Below are 26,344 nucleotides of genomic sequence, written 5' to 3'. Positions count from 1 at the left end.
GTCAGTCTGGGAGCAAGACCAAAGTCTGTCAAAGCAATACCTTTGCCTCTGTGGAACTTATCTATGGCTAACCTTGGACTCTTCCTATAGAAACTGTTTGCCCCTGGCCTTTAGCTCCTTTCCTTAAGCCATTTTCATGGCATCTTGTTTGGATATTTGCGGCTCATTTTGTTCTATCCTTGTTTCTTTCTTTCCGTCACCTTTTTCTTACTGTTTTCCAGGAAGCCATGCTGTGTCTCCGTAACGTTGCCACCAGCAGCACTGGAGCACTCGGGTTCTAATCGAGTTTCTATGTCTGTCCCCATCCAATCACTTACAGGCACGGCCCATTTGCTTGCTGAAAGTGCCTACTGTTTTGTCCTAGATTAGCTTCAATTGCCCTCTCTTACACGATATAACATGCAGATTACATTTGTTTTATAATGAATAAAGGTCCCTTGTAATCACTGTATGAAAAAAAAAACAAACAATTTGTCCCAGAGTATTGCTCCTTTTATAGTTTGCCACTTAAAGGAGTATTCAGAAATTCGAGGCATCCTAGCATTCGAGTGGGCTCAGTATTTTGACTACCCAGTGAGGGAAATGAAACACTGGTATCTATTAGCCACTCCATGACCCTTCAGCATAAAAACATGAAATTGTCATGAAGCCCATTTCTCTTTCCCGTTTCTTTTTTAATGTATGAATTTAAAGGATAAAATGATGGATTCTACCTTCTCTGAAGTGTGTGTTGTATCTCTCTTAAAACTGAATAGTCTAGGAACCATGAGTACAAAACAGTATGAGTTGAGCTATAATACATACTTCAATTATCATGATATTTCATCTAGCATTATCGTTGGTAGTATTATGAATTCATCCTATCCTTGTGTTCCCTTTTCTTTTTCTACTTATTTACTATCTGCACTTTTTTCCCCTTAGGTACCCAATCAAAAATGACACAAAACAGAAAAAATAAAAGCTCATTAGTTTTCATTGTTCCCACTGGTAGTATATAGAAGTTTCAGTGCCATGTTCACTGACAGCCATGACAAGGCCTGATACAAAGACTACAATTTACACACGCCCTTCATCTGATTTCCCATTTTCTTAGGTCTACTGATTCACTGCATCGTTTTGCAACACCCGTCTCCTGCAGTTATTCTTATTTGATCTCATTCTCTGTTTTCCAAATTAATGTAACCTGAAAATCAAATAAATCTAATAGATACATGGCTAAGTAAAATCTTTTTTGTTAACGTCCTAAGAGTTTTTTGTTTGTTCTTCCACATCTGGTATTGGTAGTAATTATCCTCTATTCCCTAGTTAAATTCATGTAACATGTTTTTAAGAAACTAATTCAAAATGCATATTTGGCTGGATGAATTCTCATTGCTTTTCCCACATGGGTGTTTGCTGACATCATAGCAGTCTGTACTGTATGTTTGAACAGTCTGTACATGTGCACACTTCCTATGGTGATGGACTCACTGCCTCTTGCGCTGGGAGGCCCCTTGAGAGTAAGGGAGGTCTCCATGACAAAGACTTGAGTCATCCAATTGCAAACATCACAAACATCTTTCATGCAATAAAACTGTAAGAAATCAGAAAGAAAAACACAGGGAACCTGAATAAATATGACTGAATTTGAGCATCTTTCATATGTAACTAGAGAAATGAATATCAAAACAGCAGAAGCTTATTTTTCACACATCAGACTGTGAAAATTAAAATATGACCACGTTGTCACAGTAAAACTGAAACAGACACTCATACTGCTTGTTGGAATGCAAATTAGCACAACCTTTGAAAAGGAATTTGACAATATCTAACAAAACCACATATGCACTTACCTTTTAACCCTGCCTTCCCCTTCTAGGAATCTACCCTGAAATATTTAACAATCCTAAATACATGTCCACAAGGTTAATTATCGCACAATTGCTTGTAAGTGCAAAATAGTAGAAACAATATAAATGCCTGTATGCAGGAGAAAAGAAAACTAAAATATAATGTATTAATGCAATGAAACACTGTGCAGCTCTAAATAAATTATGATGATTCCTATGAACAAGTATGGAGTTATTTCCAGAACATGTTGTCACACACACACACATACACACACACACTTATTAATCAGAAACTATTAAGGAAGTAGAAAAATGGGGAAGGAATGAAAACAGGGTAGAAAAAGGAAAGGGCAGTAGCATTTCTATGAAGATACATTTTTGAATGGTCCTGACATTTAGAGCCATATTAATATTTCATATAGTCCAAACATAAATAATTAAAATCAACCAGGGCATGTGGGGAATGAAAAGTTAAATCCAAACACAACTAATTTTGTAGTTTAATTATATAATTGTTAGTTTAACCCTGAGGAGGGGGGGTGTTATGGGTAAAATTGTGTCCCCTAAAAAGATGCTTGAGACCCACTCCCCAGTACCTGTGAATGTGACTTAGAGAGAGTCTCTGCAGAGGTGGCCAAGTTCAGATGGAGTCATCCTGTCTTAGGGTGGGCCTTAAATCCAATGGGACTCATGTCCTTCTAGGGAGAGGAACATTTGGACACCGAGACACAGACACACAGGGAGAACACGTGGCCGTGTGGGTGGAAATGGGAGTGACACATCTAAAAACCAGGCAGTGTGAGGATCGCCGGCCATCACCAGAAGCTGGAAGAACAAAGATGGACTCTGCCCAGTCTCTGAGGGAGCCCAGCTCTGCTGACACCTTGATTTCAGACTTTGGAACTCCAGAACTGTGAAACCATACATTTCTGTTGGCTAAAGTCCCAGCTTGTGTTTCTTTGTTAAGGCAGCAACAGGAAACCTAATACAGTAGGGAGACAAAGAGCTAGCCTGAGTAACTCTGGAAACAATGTCTTCACCTACAGCCAAAGGCAAAAGACACAAAGAACTGCACACAAATACTGCCTCCTAATTAGCAAATTTTTACAGGGTTACGGATTTGCAAATCTAAAACTACCTTGTACAAATTCAATGACTAAAGAAACATATAATCTATTATGGTTAGTAAGTGCTAGGTATTTAACTGTCGAGAAAGACTAGCAAATAAGAGAAAGAAAAAACTTTTCTTCTCAGAGAAAACTCTGAGAACATGGATTGGAACTGGAGGTGCCGCATGGAAGTCATGGATATATATGCACGTATGTGTACGCACATACAGAGAGCTAGGGAAGCAGGAAGTGGCTGAACATGTGCCTGTGTGCACCTGTGTTTATGTGCACATATGTCTGAGCCTGTCTCCTGAGATGGCGCAGAGACAATGAAAACCCAGTAGTGATAAATACACCTGGCACCAGGACTAGCCTCAGCATTTGCAACCCTGAAGCCACACAGCAGCCTGCATTCAGAAGGGCCTGGGCTTGGCTTGCCTCTCTGCATCCACCACCCTTACCTTTGTAATATTTTTTAAACAATGGACTCTGCCTTTTCTTTGAACTGGGCCCTAAATATTCTGTAGCCCATTTTGCTTAACACCCAGATCTTGGTCTTTAAATACTATTATCCAGTGAAGAAACCATGCTTCCTTGGAGAATTTGGTCATCCAGGTTAAGAGCAAGGAGAAAACAAGAGGAGTGTGGGTGATCTAGGGGTGCCTGTAAGTAAATAACTTCCCAAAAAATGCGAGGTTGTTTGAAGGAAGCAGAAGGCAACTCAGAGGAGTATACAATGGCCAAGTCTGGGGCAGTTTTAGCAATAGAATAAATAGTGATAATAAATAGAATAAAACAGCCATAGGTCCACACAGGTATGAAAAAAAAATCATATAATAGGCCAGGCGAGGTGGCTCACACCTGTAATCCCAGTGCTTGGGAGGCAGAGGTGGAGGTAGGGGGATCGCTTGAGTCCGGGAGTTCAAGACCAGCCTGGGCAACATAGGGAGACTCCATCTCTATAAAAAATACAAAAATTAGGGTGTTGTGGTGCTTGCTTGTAGTCCCAACTACTCAGGAAGCTGAGGTGGGAGGATCGCTTCTGCCCCGTAGTTCCAGGCTGCAGTGAGCTGAGACTGTGACACTGCTCTCCAGCCTCGGTGACAGAGCCAGATGCTAAGTCCAAAAAAATCTCATAATGGATAGATAGATAGATAGGTACATAGACAGACAGCTACAAAAGGAAAGTTCTCTCTTATGGTAGAATCCCAATTAAATGCAGAAGAAATGATGAAAATTATAAAATAAATGATGAAAACAGAAAATCGCTCTTTTGCAAATATTATAGTAAGAATTGTTTCTGGCAAAAAATCATCAATGGATACTAAAATTGATAAGCAAATTATGATATTGATGAGAAGCAGAATATTTACATATTCTCAAAATATCTCCCTAAAAGATGGCTACTAATTAAAAATGTGAAAAGTAGCATTACAAGAGAGAAACTGGGAAGTAGCATTAACCTAATGATCAAAGTAAATAATAGCAGGAATGCAACAAAGCAACATTATGCCAGCTGCCATGGCAAAGATATGACAAGTCAATGTGATGTCTGACCTTGACTGGATACTTACCTGAGAAAAAGGCTTTGGTGGAACAATTCATGCTATTTGAATAAGGTCTACAGGTAGTTAGTAGTACTGTATCAACATTAATTTACTGATTTTAATAATTGTACTGTGACTATGTAACATTAACATTAAGGGAAGCTGGGTAAAGAGTATACAGAATTCTGTGTATTGTTTTTTCAACATTTTTTGCAGGATGTGACTTTTTCTTAAAGTAAACAATGCTTCGAAGCTTTATATACACATACCCACATATGCATATATGTATATGTGCATATATGTACATATACATGTATAAAACTTGTATATATGTACATACGTATTAAATATAAACACATGAACAGATGTGCGTGTCTATGTTCCTATACCCTATACCACAGAATCAGAGCACTTAAACCAGAAATACTCCTCGTCATGAAAAACAACACCCTCTGGATGACGAGATTAATCCAAGCAGCTGCCTGGAAAGCTATTTGGAGATGGGGTGAACAGTGTTTTGCAGAAGTCCAGCAACTTTTTCAGTGGGCGCATGCAAGGTGCTAGCCGTGGTCCTGAACCTCAGTTGGTTTTGGCTGATGGATTTTGTCTGCCCAGCTCATTACTTACAATTGGACAAGCTTACCCACTTGAATTAGCTTGAATGAGCTATCCACTTGCATTAGTTTTCTGGGGTTAGTATAACAAAGTGCTACAGATTGAGTAGTACAACAAAACTTTATTTCTTATAGTTCTGGATGCTATATATTCTCCTATATTCTGGAGAAACCTTAGATCAAGGTGTTGGCAGAGTTGGTTTCCTCTAAGGCCCCTCTCCTTGGCTTGCAGACAACTGCATTCTCCCAGTGTCTTCCCTCGGTGTGTCTGTGTCCTAATCTCCTCTTAGAAAGACACAAGTCGTGTGGAATTAGGGTCCACCGTAATGACCTCATTTTAACTTAATTACATTCTCAATCACATTCTGAGATACTGCAAGTTATGACTTCAAAATAAGAATTTTGAGGAGCCACATTTGACCCATAACATTCTTCCCCAGGCTCCCTCCAAAATTTATGTCCTTGTCACATACAAAATATATTCATTCCATCTCAAAGTCTTAACCCACTTCAGCACCAACTCTAAGTCCAAAATATCGTCTCAATATCATCTAAATCAGGTATGGGTGGGACTCAAGGTAAGATTCCTCCTGGGGCAAATTCCTCTCCTGCTATGACCTGTGAAATAAGACAAGTTATGTGCTTCCAAAATACAATAGTGGGACAAGTATGGGATAGACATTCCTGTTGTTTCAAAAGGAAGAAATAAGAAAGAAGGGGGAATCATACTCAGTGCCCACAATAGGCACTGGTGTCACCATCAGGCAAATCAGTGTGCCAAGTCAGCCTGCTTCCTCACCAGTGAGTAAATTGTCCTCCTGGAAAACAGGGAAGTGCAGAATGAAAATAATCTACATCAACTAATTAGAATGTTACTAAAGTTGATTGTTTTGAGATCCCTAAATCCGTCAGAGTTAAGATTATTGCCAATATAGTTTATCTACATAAATGAAATGAAGTAATTATTTAGATAATTCAGAGTAAACAGAAACAAAATCTTCATAAAAGCTTAGTACTTTAGGTATAGAATTATACCTTTGCTGCTAAAAATCATGATGATATAAATCAAACTATGTTCAACTTTACATATATATATATTTGGATCTCATAATCTTTGGATCATGAGTGATTTTAATCATTGGGCCATTAATGAACCATATAGACCATATCCTCTATCTGTCTATCTATCTCTCTGTATCTATCTATCTATCTATCATCTAAAATCCAATTTTGGTGAATTAATTTTTTTAGAAATGATGTTTAAATATGTAAAGATGTATGCACAAAGTTGTTTACTGTGTCTTGGTGGAAATAAATATTCAATAAATAAATGTTAAAAATTATTATACATCTACACAATGCAATTTTATGTAGCTATCAACATAATAACATAGATAAAAATACAGTTATACTCATAGATTATACAGTCATCCCTTGGTGTCCATGTGGGATTGGTTCCAGGACCTCCCAATGGTACCAAAATCCATGGATGCTCAAGTATCTGATATAAAATGGTGTAATATTTGCATATAAGCTATGCACACCATTCCACCTCTTTGAATCATTTCTAGATTGCTTATGATATCTAATTAAATGTAAATGTATAAATAGTTGTTATACTGTATCGTTTATGGAATAATGACAAGGTAAAAAAGCCTGTACATGTTCAGTACAGATGCAATTTTTTTTCGAATAGTTTTTATCCAAGGTTGCTTGAATTCACAGATGTGAATCCCAAGGATATGAAAGTCTGACTGTATACTTATGTAGACATATATGTGCACACACACACACACACACACACACAATTTAGTTTTACCTATAACTATCAGCAAAACATCTCCAAGTATGTGCTCCAGTGTATTACTAGTGGTTATATTTTGAGCACTGGGTCTTCACGTGATGTCATTTGACCTTGATTACAGCTCTGGAGTTCATCTACAGGTCCTCTGGATTACATGAGTGTAGAGAAATATGTATTTATATTATAAACTGTGGGCCTAGCAGAAACCTTCTCACCAGAGAATAGAGCCAGAGCCTATGCATATTAGAACTTACAAAACTTCTGGGGTTTTTTTGTTCATTTTTCTCCCCAATGATTTGTTTCACCATGAATGACTAAGGATATAAACTGTGAAACAATGGTTCTCATTGGTGCTGTTCCAGAGAAGAAAAGCACCTTCCTTTCTTTCTGCTCAAAATAGCTTGCACTCTCCATTAAAGAGAAAGCCCTGGAGTGTGAGGTGGGGGTGATCCATGCACTAAGAGAGGGAAGGCCTGTGATTGTATCAGTGCCTTGGGAACAGCAGTAGCTGCCTTGTGGTGTCAGGGAAGGAGGGTTGTAAACACAAGGCAGGCCTGCTGAGAAGGCGCACAAGCCCAGCGTGGGCCGGAAGATGTGAGCTCCAGAGACAGAGCTGAGACTAGGAGGCATCCTAGAGGAAAGCCTGACTCTGATGGAGCTCACAGCCGAACTTGCACAATTGCTTAGTTGAATGATTGTAATTTATCATTGACATAACAGGTTTGTCAGGGTAAACTGAGTCATCTTCATGGAGTCCAGAATGGAGACCCAAAAAGGAAGGAGAGGTCAGTGTTTCATGAGCTCTGTTCAGAAGAAAACCTGAGCGGTGATATGAGTGGTCAGATTTTCTTGATATCCATGGCTGGCTTGTACAGTGAATGCTGGGAGTCCTGCTATTTTAACCCAATGGCACTAATTTTATTTTGGAGAAGTTAACAAGGATTTCTTTGAATTCTGTTTGTAAGGAAAACACATAGGAACACTCATGAAGCATGGGATTTGACAGACATAAGAGGATCCGATGATGTCCACCCTGGCTGGTTGCCAGAGCTTATACTTTAAAATGCAAGCGACTTCTTGCATATGCACCTGGCTGTGACAAGGCCCACAGTGACAGGCAGTGGGATGTGGGGGGGAGCACATTCGTTCAGAGATTAACATTCACCTTGCAGAGCACAAGTATTTAAATGACAGGGCATATAGGCTGCGAAAAAGTTTAAGAAGCAAGTGGCATTCACACAATTAATGTGATTAGTGAAAAGAATATCAAAGGATGGGGCTGGGCATGGTGGCTGATGCTTGTAATCGCAGCAGTTCGGGAGGCTGAGGCAGGCAAATTGCTTGAGGTCAGGAATTGGAGACCAGCCTGGCCAACATAGCAAGACCTCATCTCTACTAAAAATACAAAAAATTAGCTGGGCATGGTGGTGGGCGCCTGTAGTCCCAGCTACTCAGGAGGATGAGGCAGGAGAATCGCTTGAACCCGGGAGATGGAAGTTGCAGTGAGCTGAGACTGTGCCACTGCACTCCAGCCTGGGCCACAGAGCGAGACTCTGTCTCAAACAAACAAACAAAGAATATCAGAGGATGAAACAGGTATCAGAAAAACGTCTTCCTACAGCTAACTTCCAAATCATGAGGCTCTGTTGGTTGTGTCTGGAGTTGTTCCATGAGGATAGAGTTGTCAAAGTCTTACCTTCTCAAAGAAGACTCTTTTTTTCCACATAAGCCCACATTTTCAGAAAGCAAAAAGACAACTTGAGTGTATTCATTTTGGAAAAAAAATAGTAAAATGGTATCTAGAAGTTTCTATAAATCAAATTTGGCCAGGTGCAGTGGCTCACGCCTGTAATCCCAGAATTTTGGGAGGCTAAGGTGGGTGGATCACCTGAGGCCAGGAGTTCGAGACCAGCCTGGCCAACATGGTGAAAGCCTGCCTCTACTAAAAATACAAAAAAATTAGTTGGGCATGGTGGCGGGCGCCTGTAATCCCAGCTACTCAGGAGGCTGAGGCAGGAGAATCACTTGAACACAGGAGGGGAGATTGCAGTGAGCCAAAATTATGCCATTGCACTCCAGCCTGGGCAACAAGAGCAAAACTCCGTCTCAAAAAAAAATTCAAATTTATGCTTCAGTATAATTGGTCACCAATAAGCTGTCAAAGCTGACCACTGTAGTAAGTTTTGAGTCAGCTTCATCAAGATCGAAAGGACTATTAAAATCTTCTGTTAAAATCACAAGTGTTAATGTAATGTTACTCAGAACTTTCATTACTATTGAGAGGCATGCAATGATAGCAACACATTAACTTAAAAATATACAGGATATGATTTTGACCAAATGTAATATTTAATATAAGTTTAATTGCTTGAAAGATGTACTTTTATAACGCATTTTCTCTTAAGAATACTTCTGTGTTTGCTTTGACTTATCACAATTTTGTGATTTATTCATCACAGTTCATTGAATTTTTGTAGCTTAGTCAATAAAAGCAGCTTTTAGACTAGATGACACTCTGAGGCATTAATGTTTCCTCATGAAGTTTAAAGTTTCACTGATGAGAATAACCAAGAGGGCTATAATGTAAAAGTTTAGCAAAAGACAATCATGAATTATTCACTGATTACTCAAATCTTTGAATTTCAGAATTGCCCCAAATGAATACGACTATTTACTCCCTCAGAAGACATACTTCTTATTTGCAATGGTCTCATTATTTTTTACTGTGAGCTTCATCAAAGACAAGGTAATTAAAAATAATCACTAACTATTCTACTCAAATAGAAAATCTTGCACTGAGAAATAACATTTTCACAGCAACAACAAAAACTGAACTAAAATTATCTTTAGTTTTAAGAAGAGAGTGACATTTTGTAGATTTTTAGAGGTCATAATTTAATTACCCTTTTACATTACTAGAATACATTAATACAAATTGGATACATTAATTAGATAAATTAGATACATTAGTTAGACAAATTAGATACATTAATACAAATTAGCATTTGTTTCCTTTTGCAAATGTAACAAATATATAGAGAAATATTATCATATCAAGATCATTTTCCTGAAGTCTTCATTGAAAGTAAGCAATGTGTTACAGTCTCTCAAATCCTACGCAGATTTAAGCTGACCGAATATGCAATAAACATTACATCAGCTCTCAATATTTAGTTTTTGGGGATTAAAAGGCAAATAAGAGATGGTTTCAAGGCTGGGCGCCGTGGCTCATGCCTGTAATTCCAGCACTTTGCAAGGTTGAGGCTGGCAGATCACTTGAGCCCAGGAGTTCGAGACCAGCCTAGGCAACATAGTGAGATCCTTTCTGTACAAGAAATACAAAAATTCACCTGATATGGTGGTTTACACCTGTAGTTCCAGCTGCTCAGGAGGCTGGGGCGGGAGGATTGCTTAAGCCTGGGAGGTCTGCAGTGAAGCATGATGGCGCCACTGCACTCCAGCCTGGGCAACAGAGGGAGCCCGGGCCAAAAAGAGAGAGAGACAGAGAGAGAGAGAAGTTGGGGGAGACAGAAAGAGAGACATGATTTCAGGCGGGACAAACAAATGAATTCCAATACAATCAGTAGAGTTACAAATGAAGGGCTGTGACAACACAAATTATAAGTCAGCCAAAACATAAATATTTGTTGAATCACAACTAATATGTACTAATGTGCTAACCAAGAAAATGTCCCTGACATCAAGAAGCTGACATTTAAATTGGATGAGACCAAAAAAATGCCTATGAACAAACAAAGTAGTAAATTTTAAAAATAAACAAGAGAGAATTAGAGAGATGAGAGTACCTGCTTTTGTTGGGATGGTAACAGATATTATATATGAAGAAGTGGTATTATCATGTATTAATTATGAGAAGACATTTGCATCCATAATTAGAGAAAATATCCTAGAATCACCACAAGAACAAGAGGCCTGAGAGGTGGATACATTGTGTGTTTGAGGAATATGAACATCATTTATGTGGCTTCTGTGATGTCCAAGTGGAGGACTGGAAACAGCAGGGAAGGAGCTCAGAGAACCAGGCCAGATTACACAGGAACACTTTTTCTCCACCCCTCCTGTTTCCCTGTGGAGGACCCTTTACTATGGTGACGCCTAAGTGCCTCCAGGCTAGATGGGACAATGTACCCTACTATCCTAAGTGCTTCCGGGTTAGATGGGATGCTGTATCCTACTGTCACACCTGCTCCTCTCTCGCCAAGATAAGCTCAGAGGCACAGGGCTTGTATTTAAATGGAGAATATGAGGAAACTCATTTGGCCAGGACCTAAGCTACATTTCCAGTCTAGTTTTACATAATTATCTTTGTTGAGTTCCGTCTCTCTCCCCTTTGTCTATCTCTCGATTGGTTCAGAATTTGGACAGGGATGAGAGTGGGGGAGTGGATTAGCTCCTTCGAGCCTTCACTTCTGGCATCTATCCCAGTAACCTTGGGAGACAAAGAGTGGCCTTTGGGAAACAGAGTTCAATGGCAGCTTTAGGAACAGGGCTTTGCTAAGCCCCTTGACGATGGTGAGGACATCTACTGAGCCATGTGGTTGGGTTCCCATTTGTGAAATCTGGCTTCTAAATTGTGTCGTCTGGGACAGAAGAACATGCCTTGAGTAAGTGTGGGTCCAGTGGGACTGAGACTCAGGGGCCTTGTGTTTACAGCTGCAGAACATTTATTTTTAAAAGAGGTCCTGGGATTTAGTAACAGGTGCAGTCACGGCTAGAATGTGTGTAAAGGGAAATATTAGACTTTCCATATATAGGCCTTACATCATTAGGAAGAATATTTATTTGCTTCTTTTACTGTGTTACTTAGATGGGTCTCCTGGTGGCAAAGACTTAGGTTTTGTAATGTAGTTTGAAACTTTAAATAGCAAAGACCTCTGAGTTCAATATGGGTAGAAAGCACAGGTGAAGTTCTGTCTTTGAAGATTTGGTGCCAGTAGTGTTAGGGCAACTCATTAAATTTTACTCCCCCTTTGAATTTCCTTCAGAGGCCAGGAATGAAACCACAAGGGATTCAGATTGGAATCTGTGAGGCTATCCCAGCGGCTCAAAAGCCAGCCCCAGCATGTTGTTTAAATGAGTTCTGGATATGTTACTTATATGCACTGTGACCATGGATGGCTTTATATTTCTGAAATACAGATTCTACATAACTCTCCTGAAGAAGAACTGTAAATTTTTCTGAAAGTGGCTGGCCTCAGTTGCTCATGCCTGTAATCCCAGCAATTTGGAAGGCCAAGACAGGAGAATCATTTGAGCCCAGAAGTTCAAGACCAGCCTGGGCAACATGGCTAAATCCTGTCTCTACAAAAAAAAAAAAATAGCTAGGTGTGGTGGCATGCACTTGTAGTTTCAGATGCTTAGGAGGCCAAGGTGGGAGGATGGCTAGAATCTGGGAGGTTGAGCTTGGGCAAAAGAGCAAGACCCTGTCACACACACACACACACACACACACACACACACACAATTCTTTTACTGAAAATAGTGACATTAATAGGAAAAGAAAAATGTATGCCAACTTGTTGAGTTATACAGTGTAGTAGATTCCATGATGTCTCCCCAAATTTATTTTATCGAGAACCCCAGAATGTTATTGTATTTGGAAATGGAGCCTATGCAGATATAATTAATTAAGAATCTCAGGGGGAAAAAATCTTATATTCAGGATGGTCTTCAATCCAATGATGGGTGTCCTCATAAGAAGAAGAGAAGACACAGAGAAACAGACATTCAAGGGGAACTCCATGTGAGACACAGGCAGAGACTGGGGTTGTGTGGTCACAGCCAGGAAGGCTGGGTGAGACACAGTCAGAGACTGGGGTTGTCTGCTCACAGCCAGGAACGCTAAGTGAGACACAGGCAGAGACTGGGGTTGTCTGGTCACAGCCAGGAACACTGAGTGAGACACAGGCCGAGACTGGGGTTGCCTGGTCACAGCCAGGAATGCTCAGTGAGACACAGGCAGAGACTGGGGTTGTCTGGTCACAGCCAGGAACGCTGAGTGAGACATAGGCGGAGACTGGGGTTGTCTGGTCACAGCCAGGAACACTGAGTGAGACACAGGCCGAGACTGGGGTTGTCTGGTCACAGCCAGGAATGCTCAGTGAGACACAGGCAGAGACTAGGGTTGTCTGGTCACAGCCAGGAAGGCCGGGTGAGACACGGTTGGAGACTGGGGTTGTCTGGTCACAGCCAGGAACACTGAGTGAGACACAGGCAGAGACTAGGGTTGTCTGGTCACAGCCAGGAAGGCTGGGTGAGACACGGTCAGAGACTGGGGTTGTCTGGTCACAGCCAGGAATGCTGAGTGAGACACAGGCAGAGACTGGGGTCAGGAACGCTGGGTGAGACATGGGTGGAGACTGGGGTTGTGAACTCAGAGCCAAGAACGCTGGGTGACACTGAGGCTGGAAGAGGTGGGGAAGAGTCCCTCCACAGAGGCTTTGGAGAGGTCATGGCCACTGTGACACCTTGATTTTAAACTCTGGCTTCTAGAACTCTAAGAAAATAAATCACTATGGTTTTAAGCCATCAAATTGAAGGCAATTTGTTTTGGCAGATTCACGGTGGAATCTCGGGAGTGGTCTGAAAAATAAGTTTCAATCTCACCAGCAGAACAAGAGCAGGGTGAGAATGAAAAGAAATAAAGAAACATCCTGATTCCAGTAGAAAAAGAGGAGGATTGTTGGAGAGAAAGAATAACCCATTCGAAAACAGCTGCAGAGATATGATGGGGAAATTCAGATCTTTAAGGCCAGAATAAGATGATAGCAAGGGGAAAATGAGGCACGCCTGGGCCCGTTTCTCTCTGTGAAAGTGGCACAGAAGAGGATGCGTTTTCACTGCTGCACAGTGATGGAGGCCCAGAACCTCTGGCAGAATAAGAAGGAACAAACCCAGGGACTAGGCAGCATGACTATCAGAAGGATCTGAGATCCAGGAAAGTACTGATTGGTGAAGCTATTGATTTGTACCTTCTTATGATTGAAAAGGGAAGGTTCTTGGAAAAATCTTGAGGGGCAGGGCTTTCCCAGTGTGATAGCAAGACAAAGTGGATTCACAAGTATGGACAGTTTAGAGGGTTTCACCAGGGAAGTCAGCGGAAAACACTGAAAATGTGACTGGTTGTCAGGAGACCTGGGAAGAGCTAGGATTTTCCCCATCTGCCCCACTTTTCCAGCTACTCATTCCTCAGGTGGCAGTCAACCTCTTCGACGGGTTAAGCACTGACTGGACCTTTGAAATCAGAGTAATAAAACCCTATTAGGTTGCTCCAAAAAACAACTCCATGGAACTGGGTGTTTGTTTCATTCTGCCTATTTTGAGACTGAGGCTAGTGCTGGATGAAGCAGAGACTCTCTGCTCTCTGAGGCACTGAGGACAGGCACGGCTGTTGAGGGGCTGGAGGGAGAATAGCCATCCCAGGAAAGAGGCCAACCTGCAGCTGCTGGAAGAACACGCCTCTCCCAGCCCCAGCTGAGAGCGATAAGAAACAGAGTAATGTTTGCACTTTAATTTCCTCAGACACTCAACTCATAAACTAAGATAATTCCACTTGGAACTTTAACTTTCAAAGGCCCTGACCTTTTTTCCAGGGCTTCTCACCGGGACTTTTGCAATGGGAATTTAGATTCAAAGTTAAGACATTTCATGCTGGAACTTTACTATTGGAGTCAGTGAATGCACTTGTTATTCATATACGTATAAGTTCTTATATAATTTTTGGAGAACCTCTTACGAGCCTTCTTGGGCAATGTTCCGGAACATAATTTGAAACAGGAAAGAGAATAGATGATAGAGTGGCATTTTTTGTGCCTTGGGTACAGCATGGCTTTGCAGTTAAAATGCCATCTTAATCCAGTTCAGTCACCCGAGGACAAAAACTAAACCGGCCCCAGGGGCAGGGGTTGGTGTTGGGGTTGCCACCCCTAGAAGTTCAGAAGCACAAACAGATGGGCAGCACTGGGGGCCACGTGAGTTTCTCATTTCTCTGGTTCCGTGTGGATCCATCTGGAAAGAAACACATGGACCAACACCCTGGGCCTCGCCTTGCTGTGGCTCACTTCGGCCCAGTAAAGCAGAAGTGACTAAAATGGCTGAGTGTGGGAAAGGAGCTTGGTCAGAATGGCTCTGCCACACCCTCGGTCTTCTCCCCAGCTCCTCTTTGCTGGCACAGAAGAGATCATCATCCTCCTGCCACATCCACTACCCACAGAGAGGAGACGCCACCCCATGAAGACCAGCCTGCGGTTTGGGTGATTAGATTCCCTCCGCAGTTATATTAGGAAGGCCACTGGCTGTTGTGAAGCCACGTATTTCAACCGATGCTTATCAGAAATAAAAGGCACGTTGTGGTTCCCATCAGCACAACTCCTTTCCCTGTGGCTGAACTGGCTCAGAACTCAGGCAGAGAAAAATGAGGGAGTTAAGGAAAACCTCCGTCCACCCTAAGGAACAGTCAGTAGAAGAAACAGAAGAGGGAGGGGCGGCGAGTGGAGAGAAGCCTGTGGTGTTCCATGACCCGCATGAAGAAGGAGGGTATGCGTTAGGGTTAGGGTGTTAATTAGCTGAGCTAAGAGCCACCACGGACTCTCAACGTGGATCACAGGTGGCATCCGGATGCTTGGGTTGGGCGGCCTGGCTGCAGTTGATGAGAAAATAGAAAGCAGAGAAAAAGAGAGGCAATCAGTACAGGCAGTTCATTCAGTGAGTTTACTGTGGGCATATTAGGGCATATTTTTATGTGGTAGTAACAATCGAGAGAGGAAAAGGGAGGCCTGGTACAGTGGCTCACGCCTGTAATCCCAGCACTTTGGGAAGGCAAAGCTGGTGGATCACTTGAGGTCAGGAGTTCAAGACCAGCCTGGCCAACATGATGAAACCCCATCTCTAATAAAAATACAAAAATTAGCTGGGCGTGGTGGCAGGCACCTATAATCCCAGCTGCTCGGGAGGCTGAGGCAGGAGAATTGCCTGAACCTGGGAGGCAGAGGTTGCAGTGAGCCGAGATCACCCCATTGCACTCCAGCCTGGGCAACAGAGAAAGATACAGTGTCAAAAAAAAAAAAAAAAAAAGCAAAAGGGAAAAAGGATCATGTAATCATGAAGGAGAAGGGACATAGTTGTGCAGTAACATCCTTGAATTGGCAAGTGGAAAAATGGAGAGGCTGGTTTCAGATGGGAGGCTGGCTTCAGATGGGGCAGGAATATGTCTCTTCTGGGCACATGTGAAAAAGTAGAGAATCTGGGAGCAGATGCAGACAGGCCAATAAAGCTGGCATTGGGAACTTGGAGAAGTTCTCCTTTAGGAAGCCTGAAACACTTTCTTCCTGCAGGAGTGATGTAGGGGTTCACATAGTCCTAAGGTGTTCCATCTGAAGTACTCAAGGATCAATTGATTAGCAGAGGCTTGCCAGGTAAAAAATATGGGAAGTAGTTTAGGTAGACAAACAGTGTTCAGAGTTGGTAAGTGGCACTTAAGAAATAATCTCCCAAAGTCCATTGTGTGGAGTGGTTCTGATATGCAATACTAACAAATGTCACAGCAATATATATATATATTAAAATAAATATAAAATATATATTTTATATATATTATAAATATAAAATATATATTTTACATATATTATAAATATAAAATATATTTTACATATATTATAAATATAAAATATATATATATTTTATATATAATAACTATAAAATATATATATTATATATATTATAAATATAAAATATATATTATATATATATTTTATATATTATAAATATAAAATATATATTATATATATATTATATATATTATAAATATAAAATATATATTATATATATATTATATATATTATAAATATAAAATATATATATTATATAATATATATATTAGCCATGGAGGAGGCAGGTGTATTGAGATGAATATATGTATTTTATCATATCTATATATATGAGAAACAGTTAAGCAACTTTAAGAGGCCACTGACTCTGGGCATTAATAGGTTTGATGACTGTGAAAGAGGAGATGCTGTGTTTCTCAAAATCAGTAGGTTCTAGAAGCCCTTATTCACCAACTGGAGAATGCTCTATTCAGCACATTTGAGGAGACAAACGATAAGGTTGCTCAAGGGACACTGATTCGGGTGATGATGGAGATGTAAATTCAGATTCTGAAGGGCCTTTTGGAGAGGAGTGTACTGGGATTAGCCACGGAGGAGGCAGGTGTATTGAGATGAACTCCTGCATCCTCACAAGAACCCACAGAGGCCCCCACGGACTGGCTGGCTTCCTGCGTTGTGGACAGGCCCAGCCACTTTCCAAGGATTTAATTTCCCTGACAATGAACCGGGAGCTATGCCTTGGACTAGCACTCTGGACCACTCAAGGGTACTCGGTCACAGCACTTCACCTCCTTGAAAGCATGAGAGCTACACTCATGAAGGTGAGTCCTTTGAATGAAGAACCAAGTACTCTCAGTTCTTCCTAAAAGGAAACATGGTGCCATCAATTTCCAGTGACCACACTACCCGTTAACTGGCCCACAGATCTTTGTTGAAATCTATGTACTTGTGATCAAGATGCAAATAAAGCATTACTTTAAATGCCCCTAACTCCTGGGCTCAAAGATCCTCCCACCTTAGCCTCCCAAAATGCTGTAATTACAGGTCTGTGCCACTGCATCTGGGCATCTGATATTTTCTTTATAGAGATCTACATTCAAAATGAATGTGGTGGACAGAAAAATAAAGTGCCAAAAGATGTCCACATCATAATGCCTGAAAACTGTGGATGCATTACTTTACCCAGCAAAGGAGGTAACTTAAGGTTGCCGATGCCATTCACTGATCAGCTGACCATAAAATAGGGATGGTATCTTGGATTATCCAAGTGGCACCAAGGAAACCATCGCAAGCCTTTAAAAGTGGAAGAGCAAGTCAGAATAGGAGGTCGGAGTGATGCAATGTGAGAAAGACTCAACCAGCTATAACTGGCTTTGAAGATGGGAAGGGACCAGAACCTCTATATGCTGAAAAATTAGAGGAACTGATTCTCTTCTAGAGCTTCTAGAATTGAACACAGACCTGCTGCCATCTTAATTTTAGCCCAGTGAGTCCCATGTCAGATTTTTAACCTCTAGCACCATAGAATCATAAGTTGGTGTTGTTTTAAGCCATGGAATTTGTGGTAGTTTGTCCCAGCAGCAATCTAAAACCCATATAATGATTTGTCACCCTATGAGTGTTTTATTTTCCTTTATACCCAAAGGCATATTGTTTCCTTTGACAACCATAAAACCTGCCTGCTTTTTAATCTTTCTCCTTGATTTATTTGTGAAGTAAAACAGAGTTGTATTATGAGAAATGCTGATGAAATTCTCCTCAAGTTCAGTATTTTGAGGAAATTATTTAGTCTTAAGAATATTTCAACTCTGATTTACCTTATTCTCTCACTGTTCTTCAGCAGACCTGCTTTGAAACTCCTGGCACTGAAAGTTAAATGTGTAAAGTAAATCAGTTCCCATCAGTCATTACTAATGAACATTTCTTTTTTTTTTTTTTTTTTTTTTTTTTTTTTTTGAGACGGAGTCTCGCTCTGTCGCCCAGGCTGGAGTGCAGTGGCGGGATCTCGGCTCACTGCAAGCTCCGCCTCCCGGGTTCATGCCATTCTCCTGCCTCAGCCTCCCAAGTAGCTGGGACTACAGGTGCCCACCACCACGCCCGGCTAATTTTTTGTATTTTTAGTAGAGACGAGGTTTCACCGTTTTAGCCGGGATGGTCTCGATCTCCTGACCTCGTGATCCGCCCGCCTCGGCCTCCCAAAGTGCTGGGATTACAGGCGTGAGCCACCGCACCCGGCCACTAATGAACATTTCTTATAAGCCCAAGCCCCCAGAAAAAAAAAATGGCTTAAGAAATCTACAGCTTACATTGGGAAGACAGAATTATCATAAATGAAACTGTTAGGAAACAAGTGTTAAAACACACGTAGACTAAAAATATAATATGAGGGAAAGAGTTATAACTTCAGAAATCCTCATTAAAAATATTGTACTTGAGGGACCTCAATGATGGCTAAGAATGCAGTTGATATACAAGTAAATAATTGCTGTCATTTGTTAAGAACTCTTGAAAAATTTGCCAAGCTAAGGACTGAAATTATTACAAAAATCGCAATCCTCCAAACTCTTACCAATTGACATTTTGCTGTAGAGCTTTCCTTAAAGTTTTAAGTATTAATTTTTCAGTGCAAATCTATTTTAAAATGAGATGAAATATACATAAACTTTTGAAATACATGGAAGGGAAGATATCCAACTTCTAGTACAACTCACTTCTGGAATAAATTCTCCAGGTGACTTCAAACTCTAGTATCCATAGGCCAGTTACTGGGGCCAAGCACCATATTACCCTATAAATTAGTGATATAACACAGCCGTCTCTTTCTTTTTAATTTTAAATACTTTTTCTGTTGCTCATAGATTCTAGGGGTCAGGAATTTGATCAGAGTATAGTGAAGATAACCCGATTCTATTCCTCAAATCCTGGGGCTTCAACTCAAAGACAAATTTCCGGAGTCTGGAATCGTCTAAAGGTTTGCCCACTACACTGGATGGAGCCTCCAGCCTCTCAGATTCTCTCCACTGGGCCCCTCCAGAGGGCTACCTAGGGAGCTAGTTCAAGCTTTCTCATAATTTGGATGCTGGGATTGACAGGACAGGGACTATAGACCCTAGTAGTGGGAAGAATGTTAAGTCAGAGTAGAAGAAAAACATACGTGCGAGAGATGTATCTGTCTGCACTCTGCTGTGTGTGTATGTCTCTCTCTCTCTCTCTCTGTCTGTGTGTGTGTCTGTGTTATTCTCCAACTATGGAAACCATAATCTACTAAGAAACCAAGGAGGTTGGCTTTCAGCCCCCTGGCGATGGAATAAACATAACCTTACATGAAAGGTATTAATGATTAAGGATATAGATCACTTAGATTTTTTAATTGACTGGCTTGGATTTCTTTTCAGCTCAGGAAAGCCATGACTCCTACAGAAAAAGTTCTTGGACCTAAAATATTGTTGGCATTTTCACATATTCATCTCTAGGATAAAAAGTCCACTCCATGGTAACAAATTACTTTTTTTTATTTTTACTGTTATTTTATTTTATTTATTTATTTTTTTGAGATGGAGTCTCACTCTGTCACCTAGGTTGGAGTGTAGTGGCGTGATCTCGGCTCACTGCAACCTTTGCCTCCCAGGCTCAAGCAATTCTCCTGCCTCAGCCTCCTGAGTAGCTGGGATTACATGCACGTGCCACCATGCCTGGCTAATTTTTGTAGTTTTAGAAGAGACAGGGTTTCATCATATTGGCCAGGCTGGTCTCGAACTCCTGACCTCAAGTGATCTGCCCGCCTCGGCCTCCCAAAGTGCTGGTATTACAGGTGTGAACCACCGCACCTGGCCACACATCACATTTCTAACTGAAGGCTATGTCAATGTGAATACATTTTCACCTTACAGTGGACCACTCTGTCATCACCAGGAATGAGAAATCAGGAAGTCTTCTTGAGTCTTCCAGTTATATCAATAGCATTGTTTTGAGGATGGATCCAGTTTTGTTATTATGAAGATTTCTAAAAGGAACCAATGATATTATACCAAACAGATCCCACATTCTAGGATGTAACATCAAAACATATAGTTACAAATGAGACATTACAGAGACTAGAAGAGAGAAGTTTTTCTCAGTAAAGTTAGTGCAACACTAAATTATTAGGGCATTTCATATGAATCAAAAGTAGAAATAGAATTGGAATCAGGCCAGTTGATAAAAAATTAACCCGAACTGTCATTTTATTTGCAAATTTAGTATTATTTAATTCATCATAAAATAGCATTGTATGAACATTAAATCCGAGGGATCCGAAATACCACAGCAGACTGACATTTTGCTCATATTATGAAAAGAAGCACTAGAGAAAACCGGGCTGTTAATGGGCTTTGGGGCATCTCCAAAGGGACACGATAGCAATTATGTGAACAAAGAGGTAATGCCCACCATTAAAATGTACTTTCAGAAAGTTACTGAAATCTATGAACTGACTAAATTCCATCTGATTTTCATCTGTTTCAGTGAAAGGCAGGATTATTACAAAGCAAAAGATAAAGAGTAATTTTGACCTCACAGAATATCCCAGTTATTTAACCTGAGTTTTTACAGACCTGTTCTGATGTGGCTTTTCTTAGCATGAAAGGAAGGCTATTTGTAAAGAAAAAGGAAGGAAGAAGTAAGTCACTGAATTCCGTAATGAGGCTAGAGAGCAACGCTAATCACAACGAGACAGCTGAGACTTTCACCACACCATGGCTAGGTGGAGATTGACAAGAAATTATAAAAAATCTTATTCATATTTTAATAACTTCCTGCTTCAGAAACGTTTGTAAAGAATCAGGAGTCGGCCAGGCACAGTGGCTCATGCCTGTAATCCCAGCACTTTGGGAGGCCAAGGCGGAAGGATCACCTAAGGTCAGGAGTTCAAGACCAGCCTGGCCAACATGGTGAAACCACATCTCTACTAAAAATACAAAATGAAGCCAGGCATGGTGCTGCACATCTGTAGTCCCAGCTACTCGGGAGGCTGAGGCAGGAGAATCACTTGAACCCGGGAGTCAGAGGTTGCAGTGAGCCAAGATGGTGCCACTGCACTCCAGCCTGGGCAACAGAGCAAGACACTGTCTCTAAAACAACAAAAATGAATCAAGAGTCAGAAGACAAGGCTCACTTTGGTTGTATTTTACCCCTTTCAGGAGTAAACCTCTGGTCTATTTTTAAATTTGCTTCTGTATTTTCACTTCTGATAACAGCACTTTAAATTTGTATATTGAGTAGAGTGAACAAGTTGCTTTCTCTCTCACCTGATTGTTATGAAGTTCAAGAACGAAGCTTGAGAAAGAAAACCTAACTCAGGCCAGTCTTTCTTTGCAGTAAGGGGCAAAACTCAGACTTGGACACTGGGCTTCTGGATTGGGGCGGTGGTAGTCCTGCTGCACCACTGCCCTCAGAGCCCTGTGTCAACGCTAGCACCCCATCAACTCACACACGAGCCTGAGGAACAGGGATGCGCTGGTGCCATGGAGGATGCAGAGACACAGAACAAGGGCTTCACCTTGAAGGAGGATTGAGACAATGGGAAGGTTACAGAACTAATTAATTAATCCATTGAATAATTACCGACAATCGACTGTGTCAGGAAATATTCTAGACTCCAGGATACAAGAAAGACTAGGTCCCTCATGTCATCTGGAGAGACAGAAGACAACACACAGTGGCAGATGATGTCATCACCGCGTTGGTAAGATGGGTTCAGATACTGACCAGCCTCCTGTGGCTGTGAGTGGGAGACTGGGAGGTTGTTCCTCAGGAAAAAACTAACCTGACAATGAGCCAGTGGCAGGAGGAGAAAGCAGAGAGGGCAGGGAGCCTTGGGGAGGATGGGAGAAGCGGGGGCTTTTAGAATGGATGGAATTTCCAGGAGGTTTTGAAGAAAGCATTCAATTTGCTTAATTGGAGGGGGTTAGGAAAACTGTAACAAACAACACAACCTCCCTCTGAAGTGTGGGTGTTTTTTGGCTACAGCGAGTTGTAGAGAATGCTTCTTTAGAGACAGAGACATGGCGAGCATGGAATAGAGGATGTCTTTATCTAGAAATAAAAGAAGAGAGGGAGAATTTCTTTCATCACTGGGAAGAAAATTGCATCATTCCAGAACAATCGGAGGAGGTCATAATCAAAATGGTAACTCGTGGGACAGATGATTCCTCTTTTAACCCACATAACCCCTTTGAGATGAATAGAACCATAGTTGGTGGGACGAACTTGAAGTTTTACTTGGGCCAACATTTTAAAGTTATATAGTCTTCCTCTAAAATTTACCATCTTATCATTTTTAGAAACTTATGATCACACCATTGGCATTCATCTATGCTATGACAAATTTCAGCTCTTTACTTTAACAGTGGGCAATTCAGTTTATCATTGAGTCGCTTGCATCTAATTTACATTAAATTGATATTTTCTCTCAATTTGTAGAAAAAGGACACTGGCCTTGAAGTTGTAAACTCTGAGTTCAAATCTTGGTTCCACAATTAGTTATATATCAAAGCCTATCTAATGCCAGTTTTCTTACACTGGAAATGGGGCTAGTGATGTCTGACTGGCCTGTCTGATGAGGCTTTTGTAAACATAAAACATGAGAAAATACTTTTTGAAACAGCAAAGGTCTGTAAGGGTCTATAAAGCCAAAGCTTTCTAACCTCTAATAATTACCATATTAAAATCTTATTTATTCTTTTCTTTTGAGTACTATTTCCAGATGCTTGTAGAGAGCTATCAGGAAATAAGCAGCACGAAACCACACAGGATAAAAAGAAGACAAAATCCTAGTGCTGTTTAAGAGTAAAAGTTACTCCTAACTTTTAAGTAGAAATAAGAGGCCTTGAAAACATGAATATACACAAATGTCATGTTTCTAAGTACTTAGAAGAAGCTTGACTAATTGGCATAAATATTAACCAAGACTTTTAAAAAATTAATGTAGAACTCTTCCTTTTCTTTCCACTTTGCTTCTCTGCAGTGGCTTACATGTGTAAATGGAGGGAATGCTAAAGCCTACATGTCGGGCCTTAGTATCACGATTGGTATCTTTCGGCTGCTAAATCTGCTATCTTGTTTAGAACCATGAAAACACTGAATGCCCATCTATGTTTTTGTAGCTATAAATACACACTTTTATTAGTATAGTTAACTACCAAGTTATAAAAATGTAAAATATGGGATTGACCACTGTACAGTCTCTCTAAAGAGAAAACAACTGAGTAATAATAATAATAACAAAGATCTTAAAATTGATGCCCTACGATTGTGTTCAAATGAATGTAAAGGTTTTGGAAAAGGTTTCATGGAATTATTAAGTTATCATTATTTTGTTGAAAGTCAACTCAAAGTTAGAGAAGTTAAAAATGATCCCACAGACCTCAGGCAAATTAACAATAGAGTCATGAAGAAATCAGAGTGGGGGGCAGTTCCAAGATGGCCAAATAGGAACAGCTCCAGTCTATAGCTCCCAGCATGAGCGGCGCAGAAGACAGGTGATTTCTGCATTTCCAACTGAGGTACTGGGTTCATCTCACTGGGGCTTGTCAGATAGTGGGTGCAGGACAGTGGGTGCAGCGCACTGAGCATAAGCCGAAGCAGGGCGAGGCATCTCCTCACCAGGGAAGCACAAGGGGTCAGGGAATTCCCTTTCATAGCCAAGCAAAGCTGTGACAGACGGCAACTGGAAAATCGGGTCACTCCCACCCTAATACTGCGCTTTTCCAAGGGTCTTAGCAAACGGCACACCAGGAGATTATATCCTGCACCTGGCTCAGAGGGTCCCACACCCACAGAGCCTCGCTCATTGCTAGCACAGCAGTCTGAGATCAAACTGCAAGGCAGCAGCAAGGCTGGGGGAGGGGTGTGTGCCATTGCTGAGGCTTGAGTAGATAAACAAAGCAGCCAGGAAGCTTGAACTGGGTGGAGCACATCGCAGCTCAAGGAGGCCTGCCTGCCTCTGTAGACTCCACCTCTGGGGGCAGGGCATAGCCAAACAAATGGCAGCAGAAACCTCTGCAGACTTAAATGTCACTGTCTGACAGCTTTGAAGAGAGTAGTGGTTCTCCCAGCATGGAGTTTGAGATCTGAGAATGGACAGACTGCCCCCTCAAGTGGGTCCCTGACCCCCGAGTAGCCTAACTGGGAGACACCCCCCAGTAGGGGCAGACTGACACCTCACACGGCCGGGTAACCCTCTGAGATGAAGCTTCCAGAGGAACAATCAGGCAGCAACATTGCTGTTCAGCAATATTCGCTGTTCTGCAGGCTCCGCTGGTGATACCCAGGCAAATAGGGTCTGGAGCGGACCTCCAGCAAACTCCAACAGACCTGCAGCTGAGGGTCCTGACTGTTAGAAGGAAAACTAACACACAGAAAGGACATCCACACCAAAAACCCATCTGTACGTCACCATCATCAAAGACCAAAGGTAGATGATGGGGAACCACAAAGATGGGGAAAAAACAGAGCAGAAGAACGGAAAATTCTAAAAATCAGAGAGCCTCTCCTCCTAAAAAGGAACGCAGCTCCTCACCAGCAATGGAACAAAGCTGGATGGAGAATGACTCTGACGAGCTGAGAGAAGAAGGCTTCAGATGATCAAACTTCTCCGAGCTAAAGGATGACGTTCGAACCCATCACAAAGAAGTTAAAAACCTTGAAAAAAGATTAGATGAATGGCTAACTAGAATAACCAATGTAGAGAAGTCCTTAAATGACCTGATGGAGCTGAAAACCATGGCACGAGAAATACTTGATGAATGCACAAGCTTCAGTAGCCTATTTGATCAACTGGAAGAAAGGGTATCAGTGAGTGAAGATCAAATTAATGAAATAAAGTGAGAAGAGAAGTTTAGAGAAAAAAGAATAAAAAGAAATCAACGAAGCCTCCAAGAAATATGGGACTATGTGAAAAGACCAAATCTATGTCTGATTGGTGTACCTGAAAGTGACAGGAAGAATGGAACCAAGTTGGAAAACACTCTACAGGATATTATCCAGGAGAACTTCCCCAACCTAGCAAGGCAGGCCAACATTCAAATTCAGGAAATACAGAGAACACCACAAAGATACTCCTCGAGAAGAGCAACTCCAAGACACGTAATTGTCAGATTCACCAAAGTTGAAATGGAGGAAAAAATGTTAAGGGCAGCCAGAGAGAAAAGTCGGGTTACCCACAAAGGGAAGCCCAACAGACTAACAGCGGATCTCTCAGTAGAAACCCTACAAGCCAAAAGAGAGTGGGGGCCAATATTCAACATTCTTAAAGAAAAGAATTTTCAACCCAAAATTTCATATCCAGCCAAACTAAGCTTCATAAGTGAAGGGGAAATAAAATCCTTTACAGACAAGCAAATGCTGAGAGATTTTGTCACCACCAGGCCTGCCCTACAAGAGCTCCTGAAGGAAGCACTGAACATGGAAAGGAACAACCGGTACCAGCCACTGAAAAAACAGGCCAAATTGTAAAGACCACTGAGGCTAGGAAGAAACTGCATCAACTAACGAGCAAAATAACCAGCTAATATCATAATGACAGGATCAAATTCACACATAACAATATTAACCTTAAATGTAAATGGACTAAATGCTCCCATTAAAAGACACAGACTGGCAAATTGGGTAAACAGTCAAGACCCATCAGTGTGCTGTATTCAGGAAACCCATCTGACATGCAGAGACACACATAGGCTCAAAATAAAGGGATGGAGGAAGATCTACCAAGCAAATGGAAAACAAAGAAAGGCAGGGGTTGCAATCCCAGTGTCTGATAAAACAGACTTTAAACCAGC

General features: G+C 41.2%; 1 long non-coding RNA gene across 1 annotated transcript in view, besides 1 other annotated feature; it reads right to left on the bottom strand.

The window, feature by feature from the left end:
- The window catches only part of LOC107985172 (uncharacterized), a 76,818-nt gene that overhangs the window by 26,802 nt on the left and 23,672 nt on the right, over positions 1 to 26,344 (bottom strand). The window lies entirely within an intron of this gene.
- Positions 17,135 to 17,330: a silencer, noted in NCBI's record as "fragment chr18:75256898-75257093 (GRCh37/hg19 assembly coordinates)". NCBI's record gives its function as "represses an EF-1alpha promoter that drives an FKBP-Casp9 reporter gene in an ReSE screen in phorbol 12-myristate 13-acetate-treated (for megakaryocytic differentiation) K562 erythroleukemia cells {active_cell/tissue: K562(+PMA)}" and the evidence as "EXISTENCE:reporter gene assay evidence [ECO:0000049][PMID:32094911]".

The sequence above is a fragment of the Homo sapiens genome, chromosome 18 (assembly GCF_000001405.40).
Source record: "Homo sapiens chromosome 18, GRCh38.p14 Primary Assembly".
In the NCBI taxonomy this organism is placed as follows: Eukaryota; Metazoa; Chordata; class Mammalia; order Primates; family Hominidae; genus Homo; species Homo sapiens.
This window is presented reverse-complemented; position numbering and strand designations above follow the sequence as displayed.